A 16,598-nucleotide genomic window follows, 5' to 3' on the forward strand; every position below is an offset into this window, starting at 1 on the left:
ATTCCAGGCATTTATTTGGTATACAATTAACAACAGAAGCTTTGAGTAAACACACTTGCGGATAACTAACATGGTTAAGAGAGTAGTTCTAGGAATGATTAAAGCTCAGGTACCGGGGTCTAAAGTAACTACCATGAGGGGGCAATTTGCCTCTTAGACCTCTCCCCCACCGAGAGAGCCATCTGGCTCAAAGGTTAGTTAATGGAGGTAGGGTAAACACACTTAACTGGAGAAGCCTCTATTGTCCCTAATATTTACGCTATGACCTAATGCTCTAAGGTAAGAACAGGCTGCCTTTGCCCTGTTCAGTTATTACAAGCTATGTAACCTTTCGGCCTTCCAAAAGATTTGTGACTATTCCCTATAACTTTCCCTAATATTTCCCTTTAATATTTCTGCCACCATCCTGAGTGAATCCCAACACGAATTCTACCAGAGGTACAAAGAGGAGCTGGTACTATTTCTTCTGAAACTATTCCAAACAATAGAAAAAAAGGGACTCCTCCCTAACTCATTTTATGAGGACAGCATCATCCTGATACCAAAACCTGGTAGAGACACAACAAAAAAAGAAAATTTCAGGCCAACATCCCTGATGAACATCGATGTGAAAGTCCTCAATAAAATCCTGGCAAACTGAATCCAGCAGCACATCAAAAAGCATATCCAGCATGATCAAGTTGGCTTCATCCCTGCGATGTAAGGCTGGTTCAACATATGCAAATCAATAAATGTAATCCATCATACAAACAGAACCAATGACAAAAACCACATGGTTATCTCAATAGATGCAGAAAAGGCCTTTGACAAAATTCAACAGGGCTTCATGCTAAAAACTTTCAATAAACTAGGTATCAATGGAACATATCTCAAAATAGAGCTATTTATGACAAACCCACAGCCAATATCATACTGAATGGGCAAAAGCTAGAAGCATTCTCTTTGAAAACTGGCACAAGACAGGGATGCCCTCTCTCACCACTCCTATTCAACATAGTACTGGAAGTTCTGGCCAGGGCAATCAGGCAAGAGAAAGCAATAAGTGGTATTCAGAAAGGAAGAGAGAAAGTCAAATTGTCTCTGTTTGCAGATGACATGATTGTATATTTAGAAAACCCCATCATCTCAGCCCAAAACCTCCTTAAGCTGATAAGCAACTTCAGCAAAGTCTCAGGTTATAAAATCAATGTGCAAAAATCACAAGCATTCCTACACACCAATAACAGACAAACAGCCAAATCATGAGTGAACTCCCATTCACAATTGCTACTAAAAGAATAAAATACCTAGGAGTCCAACTTACAAGGGATGTGAAGGACCTCTTCAAGGAGAACTACATATCACTGCTGAATGAAATAAAAGAAGACACAAATAAATGGAAGAACATTCCATGCTCATGGGTAGGAAGAATCAATGTGGTGAAAATGGCCATACTGCCCAAAGTAATTTATAGATTCAATGCTATCCCCATCAAGCTACCACTGACTTTCTTCACAGAATTGGAAAAATACTATTTTAAACTTCATATGGAACCAAAAAGGAGTCTGCATAGCCAAGACAATCCTGGGCAAGAAGAACAAAGCTGGAGTCATCATGCTACCTGACTTCAAACTATACTACAAGGCTACAGTAACCCAAACAGCATGGTACTGGTGGCAGGACAGATATATAGACCAATGGAACAGAACGGAGACCTCAGAAATAACACCACACAGCTACAACCATCTGATCTTTGACAAACCTGACACGCACAAGCAATGGGGAAAAGATTCCCTATTTAGTAAATAGTGTTGGGAAAACTGGCTAGCCATATGCAGAAAACTGAAACTGGACCCCTTCCTTACACCTTTTACAAAAATCACCTTAAGATGGATCAAAGACTTAAACGTAAGACCTAGGACCATAAAAACCCTAGAAGAAAACCTGGGCAATACTATACAGGACATAAGCATGAGCAAACACTTCATGTCTAAAACACCAAAAGCAATAGCAACAAAAGCCAAAATTGACAAATGTGATCTAATTAAACTAAAGAGCTTCTGCACAGCAAAAGAAGCTATCATCAGAGTGAACAGACAACCTAAAGAATGGGAGAAAATATTTGCAATCTATCCGTCTGACAAAGGGCTAATATCCAGAATCTACAAACAACTTAAATAAATGTACAAGAAAAAAACAAACCACCATCAAAAAATGGGCAAACGATATGAACAGACACTTCTCAAAAGAAGGCATTTATGCAGCCAACAGACATATGAAAAAATGCTCATTATCACTGGTCATTAGAGAAATGCAAATCAAAACCACAATGAGATACCATCTCACACCAGTTAGAATGGCAATCACTAAAAAGTTACGAAACAACAGATGCTGGAGAGGTTGTGGACAAATAGTAATGTTTTTACACTATTGGTGGGAGTGTAAATTAGTTCAACCATTATGGAAGACAGTGTGGCAATTCCTCAAGGATCTAGAACTGGAAATACCATTTGACCCAGCAATCCCATTACTGGGGATATACCCAAAGCATTATAAATCATTCTATGATAAAGACACATGCACACGTATGTTTATTGTGGCACTATTCACAATAGCAAAGACTTGGAATCAACCCAAATGTCCACCAATGATAGACTGGATTAAGAAAATGTGGCACATGTACACCATGGAATACTATGCAGCCATAAAAAAGGATGAGTTCATGTCCTTTACAGGGACAAGGATGAAGCTGGAAACCATCATTCTCAGCAAACTATCACAAGATCAGAAAACCAAACACTGCATGTTCTCACTCATAAGTGGGAGTTGAACAATGAGAACACATGAACTCAGGGAGGGGAACATCACACACTGGGGCCTGTTGGGGGGTGGGGGGCTAGGGGAGGGATAACATTAGGAGAAATACCTAATGTAGGTGACGGGTTGATGGGTGCAGCAAACCACCAGGGCATGTGTATACCTATGTAATAAAACTGCACATTCTCCACATGTAACCAAGAACTTAAAGTGTGTGTGTGTGTGTGTATGTGTGTGTGTTTATATATATATACACACACACATATACATATATATATATATAACTTATAAGGAATTTTTACACTAAAAAAAGAAAATGCTGGGTAAGAATAGGGTATGTGGACAGACTAAGAAACAATCAAAAGATGAGTGGGCTGGGTTTGTGGTGGCCAGGTTTGTGGAGCTGATTAAGACATTGCTTTAAAATGATATTTTTTTAATATAAATTACTGTCTATATGAATATAATCCCTTCCAATTCCCCCAACTTTTGTAATTTTATTACAGAAGTGATTTTAAGTTTTAATTCAATTTCTGTCAGTTTGGTATTTTTTGATCACAGACTACAGGGTACTCAAATTTGGGAGGAGGAGGTTATGCAAGTATATTCATATTTATTTATTTATTCACTTATTCATTTTATCTTCCTGCAGTTTAGCGATCAATTTTGCTATTTTATGGTACAAAATGGCTTTCTGCCGCGTTGGTAAAGAAAGCCAATTGTCTTTGAAGCTAGTAGTGGTCAGATGACAAATCCCTGATCAATGATGCTTAAGTGGAAGTCAGCGGATGGTGCTCTCTCCTGGAGATTTTTTAAAGGATCTGATTTATCTGGTTTGTTTAAATGGAATCATAATCAGAGAAATAATTTCACCATGAGAAATTAATTAAAGAAGGCCAGAGGACAGCATTTAAAGTGAAAATCTAAAGGACATAATTGGAAAGAAAAAAAAAACAGTTTGGGGGAAAATGTCAAGTGATGGATTTGTGAGCATTTACTAAGGCAGGGGGCAAGCCATTATACTAAAGAAAGTACATGGCAACTGAAAATGATCTTTCCACATACAAATTCTTTCAGATGAAAATTTTTATTGTTTTTCAAATCTTATTTTTAAATTTTTGTCTCCTTTATCTCTCAGTATATGAGTGATTTGTTGAAAATCTCCCTCTGTGACGCTGTGACTGTGGAACTATCCATTTCCTCTTGTAATCTGGCTATTACTTGTTTTACATATTTTTATAGATTCAACATTATAGTATTTACTTGATGATTTATTTTATTGGTATAAAGTGTTCTTTTCCTTCTTAATATATTTCATCTGAAATTTCATTCTTTTCTGATATTAATATTGGTGTACCAGCTTTTTTCTTATTAATGTTCACATGCTTTCTCCTTTTTCTTTTTATTTTCAGCATTTCTGTGTTATTGCATTTGGTGTTTCTCTTATAAAGGATATAACTGGATTTCGTTTAGGTAATCTGAGATTCCTGGCATTGGAAAAGTGGGTTTAACTCATTCTGATTCTTGATGATTTTTCAGATGTGTTGACTTTTTTCAGCATTTTAGTTTATGTTTTCTGTGCCATGCCTTTGTGTCTGGAATTGGTTCCTTCCAGTGGGTTCTTGGTCTTGCTGACTTCAAGAATGAAGCCGCAGACCCTCGTGGTGAGTGTTACAGTTCTCAAAGATGGTGTGTCCGGAGTTTGTTCCTTCAGATGTTCACGTGTCCAGAGTTTCTTCCTTCTGGTGGGTTAATAGTCTCGCTGGCTTCAGGAGTGAAGCTGCAGACCTTCGCAGTGAGTGTTACAGCTCATAAAGGTGGCGCTTCTGGAGTTGTTCGTTCCTTCCGGTGGGTTCGTGGTCTCTCTGGCTTCAGGAGTGAAGCTGCAGACCTTTGCAGTGTTACATCTCTTAAAGGTGGCACGTCCAGAGTTGTACATTCCTCCCGTCCAGAGTTGTTTTGTTCCTCCTTCCTCGTTCCTCCCAGTGGGTTTGTGGTCTCGCTGGCTTCAGGAGTGAAGCTGCAGACCTTTGCAGTGAGTGTTACAGCTCTTAAAGGTGGCACAGACCCAAAGAGTGAGCAGCAGCAAGATTTATTGCAAAGAGCAAAAGAACAAAACTTCGAAAAAGTGGAAGGGGACCTGAGTGGGTTGCTCAGGTGGCCTGCTTTTATTCCCTTATTTGGCCCCAATCACATCCTGCTGATTGGTCTATTTTACAGAGAGCTGATTGGTCCATTTTACAGAGTGCTGATTGGTCCGTTTTTACACAGAGCACTGATTGGTGCATTTACAAAGCTTTAGCTAGACACAGAACGCTGATCGGTGCATTTGCAATCCTTTAGCTAGACAGAAAAGTTCTCCAAGTCCCCTACCCAATTAGCTAGACACAGAGCGCTGATTGGTGTATTTACAAACCTTTAGCTAGCACAGACCACTGATTGGTGCATTTACAATCCTTTAGCTAGACAGAAAAGTTCTCCAAGTCCCCTACCTGATTAGCTAGACACAGAGCACTGATTGGTATGTTTACAAACTTTTAGCTAGACACAGAGCACTGATTGGTGCATTTACAATCCTTTAGCTAGACAGAAAAGTTCTCCAAGCCCCCTACCGGATTAGCTAGACACAGAGCACTGATTGGCACTGACTGGTGTGTCTACAAACCTTTAGCTAGACACAGAGAACTGATTGGTGTATTTACAATCCTTTAGCTAGACAGAAAAGTTCTCCAAGTCCCCACCCAACCCAGAAGCCCAGCTGGCTTCACCTCTCACTTTTTCTGTCCCTTTTTCCCTTACCCTATATTCTATTGATCCAATGAAGTCATTTCTATTCCCCTCTTTTTTCTTTATAAGTTTAGAAGTAATGTACTTAATTCTATTCTTTCAGGGTTAACTCAACATTTTTTCACTTATATATCATATTTATATTTTCTAATATTACCTAGAACCAGTTAGTCTGTATTCTTTCAAAGCAGAGAGATGTTACATTCTGGACTAAATCATGCTCCTATCTTCCATGATCACATGTGGAATATTTGTTACAAATTGTTTTAAGCACACAATACAGCTTTTCTAATAGTCAATGCTTATTTAAATTTGTGAACATGTTTTGCTGCTTATTTTGAATAATTTTTTTCTCAATATTTACTCTTATTTGAGATCTTTTTTTTTTTCCTGAAGTACATTCTATAGTTATTTTTCAGTTAGTACATGTGATCAAAAACTCAGTATCTGAAATACTTATATTTTACACTCACTCTCGAATGATGGTTTATTAGGGTGCAGAACTCTATACTGACAATCATTTCCCTTCTAAAGTTTGAAAATATAACTTCTAGGACATTGTGTTACTAGTGAGAACACTCATAGAGATGTTATCTATTTGTGATAGATGCAAGAGGCAGATAAGGGAGGGTTCCCAGAGAATCTCTGACCTGCCCCACAAGTGTTTACATTAGATGCTTCTGTGCAAATGAGGGAACCTGCCCAGGGCTTTGCCTGGGCATGCCCACAGCAGACCGGGGGCCCACCTGCGTACCGGGAGAGTGGGGTGGAGCCACCGGGAATTCACGCCTGATGCCCGGGGAGGAGTCTGGCCTCTTCAGCTCCTGTGTGGTGGCCTGATATTCAGTCTGTGAGCTGGGAGCCTGTTGGCAGGTCCCTCTTTTTATTTTCGCTGAGAGCTTTCTTTTACTAAATGCCACCATCCTTACCTTTCAAGGTGTCTGCGTGCCTAATTTTTCCTGGTTGTTAGACAAGAACCCGGATTTTAGTTGAACTCTGGAGCAAAAATCCTGCATCATTTGTAGGTAATGTTTGTTTTCTTTGGTTGCTTTTATGACCTTCTCTTTATTCCTAGTATTTGGGCATTTCACAAAAACATTTATAAATCTGAATTAAAAAACAAACTGACCTTGCCAAGGACCCTACTGATCCCTTTTCATATAATTCTATCTGCTAGGTCTTGTGCTGCCTTCTAAGTTAGTTCATCAGTTCTATACTTCAGTATTTAATTCTATATTCAGCCATGTTATCAAATGTTTATTTCAACCTTTGAGTTTCTCATTTGTAATAGTATTTTTTCATTTTTATGTTTTTAAAAGAGTTCTTTTCATATTTTACTATTTTTGTTTAGTAACTTTCAGTACTTGTTGCGTAGATTTTATTTCATCTTTATGTTTTTGAGATGTTTGCATAACACATTTAAAGACAATTACATATTGTTGTATGATTTCCATTTCCTTGGTCAAGAATTCTCCCATTTGTTGCATCTCTGAAGAGTTTCCCAAGGTGGGTTAATCTTGAATATGGTAAACTTGCTGCCCTCAGTTTTTTAGTTTTAATACTTTATCAGTTGTTTCTTGTTCTTTTTTTTTCTGGGCATATTATTACCTCATTTGAAAATAATGACAATTTTGGCCTTTCTCTTCGAGATTTTGTAACTCATTTTCTTTTCTTTTCACATAGAATTTGATAAGGCCTCCAGTACTTTGTGATATAGTAGTTGTGGGGATGGTCCTTCTTGTCTTACTGCTGATCTCAAGTTTATGTTTGTAGCAAATTTTTGCTACATGACCATTACAAGTTTAAGAGGTTACCAAGAGTTTTTATTACAAATACCTTAAATCTTAGCAAAGACTATAAAAACTGAGATAAACATGTTTTTCTTCTAAATAGTAATCATTTAGACAAATCACAAATGTGATATCAGATTAGTGCATCCTACACTGTATGGAAACTATAAATTCATGATTTTCAAAAATTGTAGGTAAATATTTATTTTTCAAAATAATTTATCCATCTTGCTTTACCAAAAAAGGCAAGGTCTTGTTTTTCTTTCCCTATACAGTAGTAATGGCTCTTTGGTGTAAAAACTTTATAGGACCTAAAGTAAAAAAGAAGATAAAAACCAGTTTGTCTTTCAAAGTCTTAAAATATTTCATTAACCTCGTAGTGCCTGATCTCTGTCACCAAGCAAATAGTCTGAACTATTATTTCCAAGCTCAATTCAAACAGGTAAAGTTTTACTACAATTATATCTGGCCATCACTACAGTGTTTTCTCCAATCACTTCCAAAGCCTACCCCTTTTCTTTATCATACTTCCACCTACATTGCATAATACAGAGCTTAGCTAGTGAGGTACAAGTGATAAGGATTATCTCCCCAGAGTCTCCGGGCCTTGGTAATTCCTAGACCACAGCACCATGCATTAGGTTATAGTCACAGGCCTCTATATAGTCTTCCACATATCCCATTACATTTTAAATCCTATGCATACCCTTTATATCCTGCACTTATCTGTCAAAATTCTAAGGTATAAGATTTTTTTTTTACTTATCCCTGCTGTTTAATTTTGAAGAAAGAAAAATATAAAAGAAAATTTTTTAAAAAGAGGCCTTCATGGATATCAAAGAATGCCAACAATAATGCTGAAGAAAGAAGTTATTCTACAGCAATGAGACACAAAGAAAAGAATTTTGTAAACATTAGCATCTTGGTTACTGGAGAACTATAACTTTTATGTAGTCGTGCTTGGAAAACACTAAAAGGGAAATCGAGTCTGTTTGACAATATTCTGTCTTCACTGTTGATCACTTCATAATGTGTTGGAATATAAAGTTCTATACAGTTAATATGAAGCTCTCTTTAGCATTTAAAACATGATTTGCATTTTCATGAGGCATTTTGGCTAATTTTATTGATTTCCTTATATTTCATAGTCCTTAGCCTTATGAGAATCTTATGTTTCTGTGTGTTTTCTATCATGTAGCACAATTTCTGACACACAAAACATACAATAAACTTGTGTTAATTTTTCTATCAAAGTCAGAATTTATTCATAAGGAATCTGAAGTAAGGTGTACTAAGCTTGTTTATGGGTTAAGTGATATAGCCAAATTCAAAACTTTACTTTTTATGTCAGTCTAGAAATATCTCAGATTAAAACATATCACTTCTTAGTTCCAATTAGATAAGGGAAATCTTTTATAATAATGCCAGGATTGCTATAATCTGATAGGAGACAACAATTTCATTTTGCTACAGGAAAATTTGGAGGACAAAAAAAAAAAAAGAAAACATAAGATAGAGGAGAGAAAATAGTCAGATGAAGAAGCAAAAAACACAAACAAGGCATTTAGATTTGTTAGGAAGGAATTCAAGTCAGTCAGTAAAGTGATAACTTTTGAATTATCTGAGAAAAATATACTCAGAACAAAATCAGGCACACTAAAGGTATCCATAATCCACATTATTTACTAGGCTAAAGGTAAGTACAAACAAATCTACATGGACTAATTGTATCACAGAACAAAAAGGGTAGCAAAATCCAGTAATTCCAATGGAGTAATAAAGTTGCAGACAAAGGAAAATTAACGTGTGCATTGCTTGAGATATGACTAAAATGTCATTAAAATAAATTCTAAGTTATGAATATTCATTTGAAAAGTTACAAAGTACACACTGATTTATATTTCAGAAGCAAGGATATATGTTTCTATATAATTTAGTCCTAAATATAGTTCATTTCCTATGCTAATGCTTTTTTCCTTCTTCTTACCTTCTTAGGTCAACAACAAGAGGCCAGGACCTCCCAAGAAAAGCTTTACTAATGTAATAGCTTTGGCCAAGTCCACCCAATATATTTTCCTCTCTGCAAAGAGAAACAAGCTATTGTCTCATCTTAGGTTTCATCTTCTTCCATGCCACTGTTATTCATGTTCAAATCCTGGCTGTCCTTCAGGGTCCAATTCAAATGATTATCGCCATTTTCTATTAATGTCATTTCTTCCTATTTTCTACCTTTTGTTAGCTATGTTAAAGTGTTTCTTTACCAACATCCCCCATATATTGTGTAACACAGTGTCTATGGCTTACTCATTTTTGAATCCTTATCATGACCTGACATAATGAAGATTCTTAGTACATAGTGATACATGTAAATATGAGTTAATTAGTACATGATAGACTTGATTTCCAGAATGATTTTGTATAGTTGAATTGTGTAGTAAGGGGACACATGTGAAATGAAGACTTTAGTCAGTATCAAGAAGATATTTTGGGTGACTTCACATATCTGCCAATGATAAATCTAGAAACAATAGGTGCTTGGGTAGGTGATTTCCTTTTGCCTTCTTTATCATTGTTTTCCCAGTATTTCTTACATTCATCTAATTTCATTAGATGCCCATATACTTTATACTGGCTCTTCCTGTGAGGTTCGAACTGGTCCAGTCCATTTGTTTTCAGAATTGATTCATCTGGAGAGTCATCTCCTATCCTCCCAAACAATGATATACCAGTCTGAGGACTGTGTAGAAGGGACTTCTCTTTCTACTCAGTATGACCAAAATAATTCAATTCTAGTTGTGGTGTGTGATTTATGAATATTTTGTCCTTTAGTTTGTGTGAGCCAATTTTGTGCCATAAGAATTTTAGCCTCCTTTTCCACAAAAGAGTGATTTAATCAAACAAAAGTTGACAATCAATGTAGTACATTTGTGTGACAGTGATTAAACATGGTGTTTTTCTCTTAGGTGTCTGAGTAGATTTGGAAATGCCCATTCAGCCCTCAGAGCTCCTCTGCTTTAAGGGTGATGGACTTCCTGTACCACTACGTAGTGCATGAGTGCCAGCCACTGGTATCTAGAACTGTGATTAGTGAGGAAACACTAGGAGGAACAAACAACCCAACTCTTTTTATCTAATCTGTTGACTCCAAAGGGACCTTCTGCTTATTCCAGTTAAAACTCAAGCTGCAATTCAAAATGAAATCAGTATCTTTTTTCTCTACTTTTCAGCAAAGCAAGATGCTACCTTATAATTACCACGTAACAATCAATCGCAAACATAGTGGCTTAAAGCAGCTCCTCTTTTAGCCTACATATCTGCAAACTGGCAGTCTGGACTGAGCTCAGCTGGATGTTTTTTCTGAGCTGATCATGTATGTAGGGTCTGCTGCTGGCTGGTTTAGACTGATGGTGGATGAGAAACCACATGAAGAAGAGAGGCATGATGGTGGCAGAGTTCTGAAAGAGTCACACAGAAGGGCGTTGAGTTCGTGGCTTGAAAATAGCATCCTGTCACTTCTACCACATTCTATTTACCAGGCCAGCCCAGATAAAGATGTGAAGAAACAGACTCCATCTCTTGATGGGAGAAGTTGAAAATCAATGGAAAATGGCATGGATAAGGAAAGGAGTGATGATTGTGGCCATATTTGTAATGGCCATATTTGATACCCTTTTCAGTTTTCCTAGCCACACTTCTCATTGGCCAGGAAAATTAAATGCATGTCAACACTGAAGAAAACAGATCTTGGTTAAAAGCAATGATGTAGCTAATATCCCGTTCAGGTAAAAGATTACTTATATAGTGTGAGACAGGCATGAGGCAGAGAAGTGCTTACAGGTTGGTTTCTGCTTTGTTAGCAGATTTACTTTTAGATCATATACTACTTTGTTTTTACTGTTTTATTGAGAAAAAATAACAAATATTTCCAAAATTTTGCAGCATGCAACTCAGTGCTTCAGTTGGCATTCAATCAAAATTTCCTTGAAATAAAAAAAGACAAGAGAGAGACTTGGAATTATGACTCTTCTACTAGATTAGCTCCTTCATGTCAAAATCTGTCAAGTTTATGATTTATTCAGATAGCACTTGTTTTTGGTGTAATAACTAAACTGTTGCTTTAGAGTCTACTACATTCTCCTCTATTATTTGGCATTTTTCTCTTTATTATTTTGTTCAAGTAGGATATTGTGCTGAGTTGAACCATGAAATGAATTGTATTGAGCAACATCAACAACATAAATATTCTGGGGTGTCATCTGCATTTTCATATCTGGCTGCTCAAATTCTTTTTACAGCTATAGCTTTGATAATAATGTAATAGCATAATGTTTTTCATTAGATATCAAATCATAGAAGACAACAAAGATGTGTTAAGTTAGCATAGTTTAATATAAGGAAACAACAGCATCAGTAAAAGCATTGAGCACTAAATATCTCTTCCATTTCAGTTCTTTTACAGGAAGCTTTTGTTACGTGTTGTCAGCACATTGCTGTGATGCTCAAGTATAGCTCTTTAATGTGAAAACCTGGTATTTGGGCATGGCTTGAAGCAGGTGAGAGAGTAACCCATGCAGATATTAGAGGAAAGGAACAAGAGTAGCTGGAAAGATCCAGAGTTAGGAAGCTTCCTGGTGCCCTCCAGGAGTGGCAAGCTGGTCACTGTGGCATGAGAAAATTGAGTTAGGGAAAAAGAAGCAGATTAGGTCAAAGAGGTGAAATGGGAGGGAGGTCATGTAGATGTTGTAGGCTACTGTGATGAGTTTGACTTTTACTCTGGAAGACAGGAAGACAACCATAAAATTTGGGCCATTAGAGTGAAATAATTTGTCTTTATTTTAAAAGGATCACTTTGCCTCCTCTGTTGGAATAGAATGTGTATGTACTGGAGAGTGGTGGTGGATAGACAGCTATAATGGAAGCTGGGAGACAAATTAGAAAGCAACTGTTTTCTCCCAAATTCATTCCCTGCCCTTCCTCTAATTACATCTATATCTTAGAGGTCTAATCCTTAAAAAATATATTTCCCAGATTCCCTTGCTAATTGGTTTCAAACTAAATTTAGTCAAAAAGAAGCATTGTCATGAAGTTCAGGGCACCAAGAAGGGACAAGCTGGGGCATTGCTCTCTCTCTCTGATTGCTTTGGGTTGTGCCTGTGGCAACTGCCACATGTGCCCCATGGCCAGTCCCTGCTGGGCAGGCTACTGTGATTGCCATTTGTATTGGGTGATCTCAGCTTTTGGTTTCCCATGATACCATCTCTAGGGGTAGCAGCTGGCTATAATAACTAATGTCTGGATTATCCTAACTCTTCTGTTTGTTCTTTCAGGTATTTAACAATGTTGTGACTAATTGGCTTCCATTATTTCCCTAGAGTAGGTTCTGTTATTACCCTGGAATATGTTTGTAATAGAGTGGGCTATTACAATCATCTAGGATAAAGATAATCGTGGCTTGGAATAAGGTGGTAGCAATGGAAGTGATGAGAAGTCATTAGATGCAGAATATATTTTATAGATGGAATGTGATAAAATAAAAAATAAACTGGACTCTGGTTTCCAGCATATAGTTCCAAAAGACTGAAATTGAAATTTGTGGAGTAATAGGGTATCTTTTGTATGCTAATGAGAAGAGTGGCGGTTGGGGGCCCCTAGAAAGCTTCAGCATGAGGGCTAGTCACCAGAAAAACTATGACATGATTAGAGGGCTAGAACTTTCAGCCTCACTCCTTGACCTCTGAGGAGAGAAGACAGGCTAGAGATTGAGTTCAATCACCAATGGCCAATGATTTAATCAATATCATGCCTACATAACGCAGTCTCCATAGAAACCCCTAAACCGTGGATTTCAGAGAGCTTCTGGGTTGGCCAACATATCAACAGAGGAGCTGTGAGGTGGGCAAGCCTGAAGAGGGCTTGGAAGGTCCTGTATCTGCCCCCTTTTCTTTGCTTTATGCTTCTCTTCCATGGGCTGTTCCTAAGTTGTATCTTTTATATAGTCAAAAAGAGTTTTGATATAGGTTGTATGAGTGTTATAAGATAAATAAAAGTCAAAAATGACTCTAGTGTTTTTCCTGAGAAATTGAAAATGGCATAATTATTATTAACTAAGATGAAAATAATGTAAATAAAGCAAGTCTATGCTGGGAGAGATTAGGGGTTCAGTTTTGTACATGCTGTGTTTAAGATGCCCATTAACTACCTAATTGGAACGTTTAAATGATCAGTTGTGTATATATGCATCTGGAGTCAGAAGTCCAAACTAGAGATATAAATTTAGGAATCAACAGCTTTTATTGTTGTCTATTCAAAGTTATGAGCCTAGATGAGATCATTCCAGAAAGTGAACATATATAAAAGAGAGATTACCAAAAGTGAATGAGGACTCCATTTACTATACCTTCAATTATTTAAAATCTTATAAATTGGTGCTGTCCAATAGAACTTCCTGCAGAGACAGAAATGTTCTATATTTGTACTATCTGAAATAGTAGCTGTATTAGTTTTCTATTTCTACCACAACAAATTGTCTCAACTATAGTGGCTTAAACAACAGTAATTTATTATCTTGTAGTTCTGTAGATCAGAAATGCACCATGGTGTCACTGGGCTAAAACCAAGGTGCCAGCATGGTTGCATTCCTTTTTGGAGGCTCTGGTGGAGAATCTGTTTCTTTGACTGATCTAACTTCTAGAGCCCATTTGCATTCCGTGGCTTGTGGCTCCCTACCTGCATCTTCAAAGCTAGCAAGGCATGTTGAGTTCTCACAGCTCATTACCCTGATCTTTTCTTCTGTCTTCCTCCTCCACTTTAAGTATCCTTGTGATTAGATTGGAACCCTTGTGGATAATCCAGGATAATCTTCCCATCTCAAGGCCCTTAACCTTAATCACATGTATAAAGTCCCTTTTGTCATGTAAAGTAACATATCCATAGGTTCCAGGATTAGAATGCATACATTTTTGGGAGGCCATTACTTTGCCTACCAGCATGACCACTATCACCATATGGTGATTGGACATTTGAAACATGGCTAGTGGAATTGAGAAACAACATTATTTTATTTTAACTAATTTAAATGGAAATGGAAATGCATATAGATAATGGCTACCTTATTGGACAGCACACATCTAGAAGAATAGGAGAGTAAATAGACTAGGGACATGTGGTATGATCACAGACCAACATTAAGAGCCTATGTATGATTTGTAGTTATGAATTTTAAGTAAGACTTTAGCATAGTTGTATTTCTACAGCCATGTTAACTACTGATGGCACTCTATATTAATCCCTTCTCACACTGCTATAAGGACATACTTGAGACTGGGTAATTTATTTTAAAAAAGAGGTTTAATGGACTCAGTTTCATATGGCTGGGGAGACCTCACAATCATGGTGTAAGGCGAAGAAGGAGTAAAGGCACATCTTACATGGCAGCAGGCAAGAGAGCATGTGAGGGGGAATGGCCTTTTATAAAACTATCAGATCTCATGAGAACTCACTCACTATGACAAGAACACCATGGAGGTAACCACCTTCATGATTCAATTACCTCCCACCAGGTCCCTCCTATGACATGTGGGGATCATGAAAACTACAATCCACGATGAGATTTGGGTGGGGACACAGCCAAACCATATCACACCCATAAAATTGCCTTGAAGATACATTATCAAAAAACGATAATTATAAACCAAGGGAGATAAAGGTTTTGAATTTAAGAAACAGTGATGAGCAAAGAGACCAGAAAAATTTCTCTTAACTCTAAATAATTATTGAGGCTACCACTCCAAAAATTAATATAATTTTTTTTTTAGATGAAGTCTCACACTGTCACCTGGGCTGGAGTGCAGTGGCGCAATCTCGGCTCACTGCAACCTCTGCCTCCTGGGTTCAAGCAATTCTCCTGCCTCAGCCTCCCAAGTAGCTGGGATTACAGGCACCCGCCACTACACCCAGCTAATTTGTTGTATTTTTAGTAGAGATGGGGTTTCACTATGTTGGCCAGGCTGGTCTCAACTCCTGATCTCAGGTGATCCCCCCCACCTCAGCCTCCCAAAGTGCTAGGATTACAGGTGTGAGCCACTGCGCCCAGCCCAAAATATCTTAAGTAGATGGGGTTGTGCCATATTGGCCAGTCTGGTCTTGAACTCCTGACCTTGTGATCCACCTGCCTCGGCCTCCCAAAGTGCTGGGATTACAGGCATGAGCCACTGTGCCTGGCCATATAATTTTTAAAAGAAGATTCATTAAACAAAGGATCCACAATATAATAAAAAATTCCAAACTATCAAAAGCCAAATGATTAATTCTTGACACTTAGGAAATAAATGGATTGATTATTTTGTTCCGAATTTCAGAACAACCAATAAAATAAGAGAAATAAGATACAGAATTTGCAAATCATTAGAAAGAAGTAACAAAGTTATAAACAGGGAAGTATTTTTAAATGACACTTGAAAACCCAAACAAAAGAAGACATAACACACGATGGCAGCAAAAAGTTTAAACATATTATGATTACAATTATGATTAGATAAGTTCCCCTGTCAAAGACAAAGAACAGTAATTAGTTGTTTATAAGAACTACACTTAAATCAAATGACACACAAAGGTAAAAATTGAACAAGGCAATGAGAAGCAAAACAATACCCAGAAATAGATTTCAGCAGAAGTGGGAGTCATTCTTTCCAGTATAGGTTTGAATTCACAATACCTGCAGGGCCTAAAAAAGCTCAAATTAAAATTTAATGTAAAGTGGTCTCCAATTAGTAGTTTCCCAAGATGCCTTGCAGAAGAGGCAATACAAATTCATTCTTTTTTTCTTTTCGCCACAAGGTGGGTGTCATTGTGACTGGCTGCTACCTCCCCATGAGTCTTCTAAAATAAAACCTGCAAATTCACATCTTCCCCATGCTTCCAGAGAATGCATATTCTTCCTTTGAAAAAAGAAAACCAGGTATGGTTGCATGTGCTTGTAGTTCTAGCTACTCAGGAGTACTCAGGAGGCTGAGGTAGGAGGATCACTTAAGCCTAGGAGTTCAAGTCCAAGTCTAACCAAGACATATGGAGACACTCTTTCTGGGGAGGGGAGGGAAAAAGAGGGCAACACCTAGGGAAACAGATTTAGGTAGAGAGGGACAATAGAATTCTCAATTTATAACAAGGAAAAAAATGACTACCAGACATTTGTAAGACGTCAATAGCACAAAAGAGAAACACAACCAG

The 16,598-nt window shown here is 37.4% G+C and overlaps 1 long non-coding RNA gene across 4 annotated transcripts in view, besides 5 other annotated features; it reads left to right on the forward strand.

Moving 5' to 3' along the window:
- Nucleotides 5,612–6,811: an enhancer, noted in NCBI's record as "MED14-independent group 3 enhancer chr4:90601839-90603038 (GRCh37/hg19 assembly coordinates)". NCBI's record gives its function as "activates an origin of replication core promoter dependent on BRD2, BRD4, P300/CBP and CDK7 cofactors, and independent of MED14, by STARR-seq in HCT116 cells {active_cell/tissue: HCT116}" and the evidence as "EXISTENCE:reporter gene assay evidence [ECO:0000049][PMID:35650434]".
- Nucleotides 5,612–6,839: a biological region, named in NCBI's record as "MED14-independent group 3 enhancer GRCh37_chr4:90601839-90603038".
- Nucleotides 5,838–6,339: an enhancer, noted in NCBI's record as "H3K4me1 hESC enhancer chr4:90602065-90602566 (GRCh37/hg19 assembly coordinates)". NCBI's record gives its function as "activates a minimal SCP1, AML or CMV promoter by ChIP-STARR-seq in primed H9 embryonic stem cells {active_cell/tissue: H9 hESC(primed)}" and the evidence as "EXISTENCE:reporter gene assay evidence [ECO:0000049][PMID:30033119]".
- Nucleotides 6,340–6,839: an enhancer, noted in NCBI's record as "H3K4me1 hESC enhancer chr4:90602567-90603066 (GRCh37/hg19 assembly coordinates)". NCBI's record gives its function as "activates a minimal SCP1, AML or CMV promoter by ChIP-STARR-seq in primed H9 embryonic stem cells {active_cell/tissue: H9 hESC(primed)}" and the evidence as "EXISTENCE:reporter gene assay evidence [ECO:0000049][PMID:30033119]".
- LOC124900602 (uncharacterized) overlaps nt 6,429–16,598 on the forward strand; it is a 44,628-nt gene continuing 34,458 nt past the window's right edge. For 2 of the 4 annotated variants that reach the window (XR_001741764.2, XR_938983.2), the window contains exons 1-2: nt 6,429–11,926; nt 16,209–16,329. This is a non-coding gene — a long non-coding RNA (uncharacterized LOC124900602). Of the gene's footprint in view, nt 16,330–16,598 lie in introns of all 4 variants that reach the window. The other 2 variants (XR_007058466.1, XR_007058465.1) reach the window with 1 other exon arrangement.
- Nucleotides 13,954–14,488: an enhancer, noted in NCBI's record as "NANOG hESC enhancer chr4:90610181-90610715 (GRCh37/hg19 assembly coordinates)". NCBI's record gives its function as "activates a minimal SCP1, AML or CMV promoter by ChIP-STARR-seq in primed H9 embryonic stem cells {active_cell/tissue: H9 hESC(primed)}" and the evidence as "EXISTENCE:reporter gene assay evidence [ECO:0000049][PMID:30033119]".

The sequence above is a fragment of the Homo sapiens genome, chromosome 4, assembly GCF_000001405.40.
Source record: "Homo sapiens chromosome 4, GRCh38.p14 Primary Assembly".
Lineage (NCBI taxonomy): Eukaryota > Metazoa > Chordata > Mammalia > Primates > Hominidae > Homo > Homo sapiens.